Below are 3,012 nucleotides of genomic sequence, written 5' to 3'. Positions count from 1 at the left end.
TATTTTGTTCTAGATGAATTTGATGAGACATAATGACAATAAAGATAAGTAGAGATAAATTCAGTTGAATTGAATCTACTTCTTCTGAGCATTTGGTTCTCAACGATTCCTGTCTCATTCTTGTCAGACTCAAATTAATAACTTTGCTAGATATTTATTACATAGTTAAAGCACCCTGGATGTTTATGTGTCTGTATGTTGGCATGTCTTTGGATCTGAGTTTTGAAAGATTAAAGTTCCAGCCTTTGGAATTTGGATATATGTTAATTAAAACAAAGCAAAATAAGCAAAGGAAAGCTTGGACTTTGATATTCAAAGACTTGATTCACTTTCCTACTTCTGGCCAATTTTTAAATCAACATTCTACTATATATCAGGCACTGGGTATGTCACCTAATTTGTGTGAACTTCAGTTTCTGGATCAGAAAGTTGAAATAAAGAGCATATCTGTTACTCAAAGTTGCTGCTATGAGGAAGAGATGTAACAATGTTTGAGAAAAGCATATTGTGATCTGTAAATTGTTATTACTCTTGTAATTATTAGTGTCAGGTGGACAGAAAGAATGAGAAAGACAATTTAGCTTGGGAGACTAGCATGAATTAAAGGCATGGAAATATAATGACATACAGAATGTTCGAGAATGACCAAAAGGCAGGTATGACTGGGATGTAAGGGTATAGAAGGAAGTTCTTCAGTGGAGCAGCAAAGTGCTTTATGGAGAGCCTGAATGCTGGGTTACAGAGTTTGCGCTTTATTCTAGGTCCAACAGGGAGTCCTTGAGGATTTTGAATGAGTACTACATCTTCTAGAAAAATTATCTCACATGCTAGAAAAGTGTCCATCCATACATTATCAATGAGGAGACCACAGAATAGTTTTATCCTTAAGCACTGAACAACATTTCTCTTTTGTTCTCCTTTTTCTCCTTGCCTGGCCGACATCATTCTTTGACTACCTTCAATAGTTTTCAGCCTTTGATGTACATTAGTAATTCCTGGCCTTTGCTCCAGCCTATTGAATTCACATCTGGGTGGTAGGGCCCAGGCCCTGCATTTGAAAAGTCAGTACAGGGGATTCTGATGTCAAGACAAAATTGAGAGCCATCTTTTGAACTTGTTCTGTACCTATTATCTCCCTGTGATATACAGAGGAGGCTCTTTAAACTGCAAGAAATATCCATACATTACAGTGGTCTATGATGAACATATAAGGGATATAAGAAAGAGAGAAAGCTCAACCACTTGGCCATGACTCAGGGAAACTGAAAAGAGCAGGCAGGGGCACTATGTCTTATGGGACAAGCAGAAACCACAGTATGCTTGAGTGTCCAGATAACTGGATCACAGTTCAGAGATAGGAAGATGACTCAGGATTCAGTAATGTGGGTGTCATCAACTGAGGTCCAGGGGTCCCTTCCCATTTTCTGCAGGGAATATGACTCAGCTACTTTCCCAGTCCCTGCTGGTTTCTCTGTGTGAATATTCACTCTAGCTCCTATTGCCTGGCAGACTTACTCATTATATCCTCAATGGAAATTCCAGAGAGGGACAACTGGATTAGTCCAGTGACTCATGGAGGAGCATCTGCTTTTGATGAAGTGCTTTCTCTTCAGTCGGGCCAATCACGATTGGGAGGCAGCGTCTTGAACGGTGGAATATGAGTAAGAACTTCTACAGAAGAGGCCAGGGCTTCCCAGAAGGGGGCTATTCAGTAACAGTAATTATCAGCAACCTCTATTTAGCACTTGAGCACATATCTAAATATTTTACATATGTGAAAATTCATTTAATTTTCATAACATGCATAATTTAATTGTTTTCATTTATTTGACAAATATATACAGCGTTGCTCTGTAGCAGGCACTGGTCTTAGTACCTTACAGATGTTGACTCCGTTGATAAAAACTTACGAGGTAACTACTATTGTTTTTTTCATTTTACAGACAAAGACAGTCACAGAGTTAACATGTTTTCTGAGGTCATACCACTAAAAGTGGAAAAACAATTATTTGAACCCAGGCACTCTGGCACATGCTTTATGAGATTCATTTCTTTGCACCCTCAGGTAACCCAAGGTGCTAAAAATCTACTTGTTCCTATTATGTATTCCAGGAGATATGTAAGGCTGACACACAGACTGGCGTGAGGAGGGCAGTTAGCCTGGTGCTTAGCTCTGAATGATCTCAGAGATCAGAATCTTTTCTTTTGAAGTTCTATGTATCTGGTACCCAATAAATGCTCAATAAATATCTATTGAATAACTATGGAATAAATGAATGAATAAATAGAATAAATACATAAGAAAATGAGATTTAAAAAACGTGAGCAGTTGAAGTGGAGTTTGAAGAAAGAAATTTTTGGTTGAGTGAAAAATCACATTTGATCATTTGAGAATGATAGTATTAAGAAAGAATGGTACGACTTGACTTCACCTCTTAACCTCCAGAGACTCCACTGAGAGCTAACCTAAATGTTTGAAAGATTTTTCTTCCTAGTCTTCTTAGCTTGTAAAATTTGAGCAATTAGACATGCCAATATTTAGGAAATAGTTGCTACTTTTCTAGCAAGACACTATGAGAATCAGTCATCATTTAGTATTTTGTTGTAAGTCTTGAGCTATAGTAAAAAAAATGTAAGTAGAAAAAGTTAAGTAAAATCGTATTGACTTAATATGTACATTAGGCATATTGGCATTTGAATGGGTTTAAATTTATTCATGCATTTTTAAAGGGAAAAATAGTGATTAAAAGGAAAACTCAGAGACTTTTTTGGGAACATAGTCTTTAAAAAAATTATAAAGAAAACATATTTTTACTTAATCAGCAGGACAAGTATAAGCTCATCAATAAAAATGGGGAGCACAAAATAAAGGCAAAGCAAGGCTGACGACAGCCTGGCTCTATTGTCTAACTGTGGAAGAAGCAGGAAAATAACAGCTGCAGACATGCAATAAACAAGCACAAGGGACTAAGTTGGAGCTTGATGCCAAATTAAACCTGTGCGTGAACCTTA

General features: G+C 37.0%; 1 annotated feature.

The window, feature by feature from the left end:
• Window positions 794–1,993: an enhancer, noted in NCBI's record as "P300/CBP strongly-dependent group 1 enhancer chr15:36720048-36721247 (GRCh37/hg19 assembly coordinates)". NCBI's record gives its function as "activates an origin of replication core promoter dependent on BRD2, BRD4, P300/CBP, MED14 and CDK7 cofactors, with strong dependence on P300/CBP, by STARR-seq in HCT116 cells {active_cell/tissue: HCT116}" and the evidence as "EXISTENCE:reporter gene assay evidence [ECO:0000049][PMID:35650434]".

This window comes from Homo sapiens, chromosome 15 (genome assembly GCF_000001405.40).
Source record: "Homo sapiens chromosome 15, GRCh38.p14 Primary Assembly".
NCBI classification, from domain to species: Eukaryota; Metazoa; Chordata; class Mammalia; order Primates; family Hominidae; genus Homo; species Homo sapiens.
The sequence above is the reverse complement of the archived record's forward strand: the minus strand, read 5'-3'. Positions and strand labels throughout refer to the sequence as shown.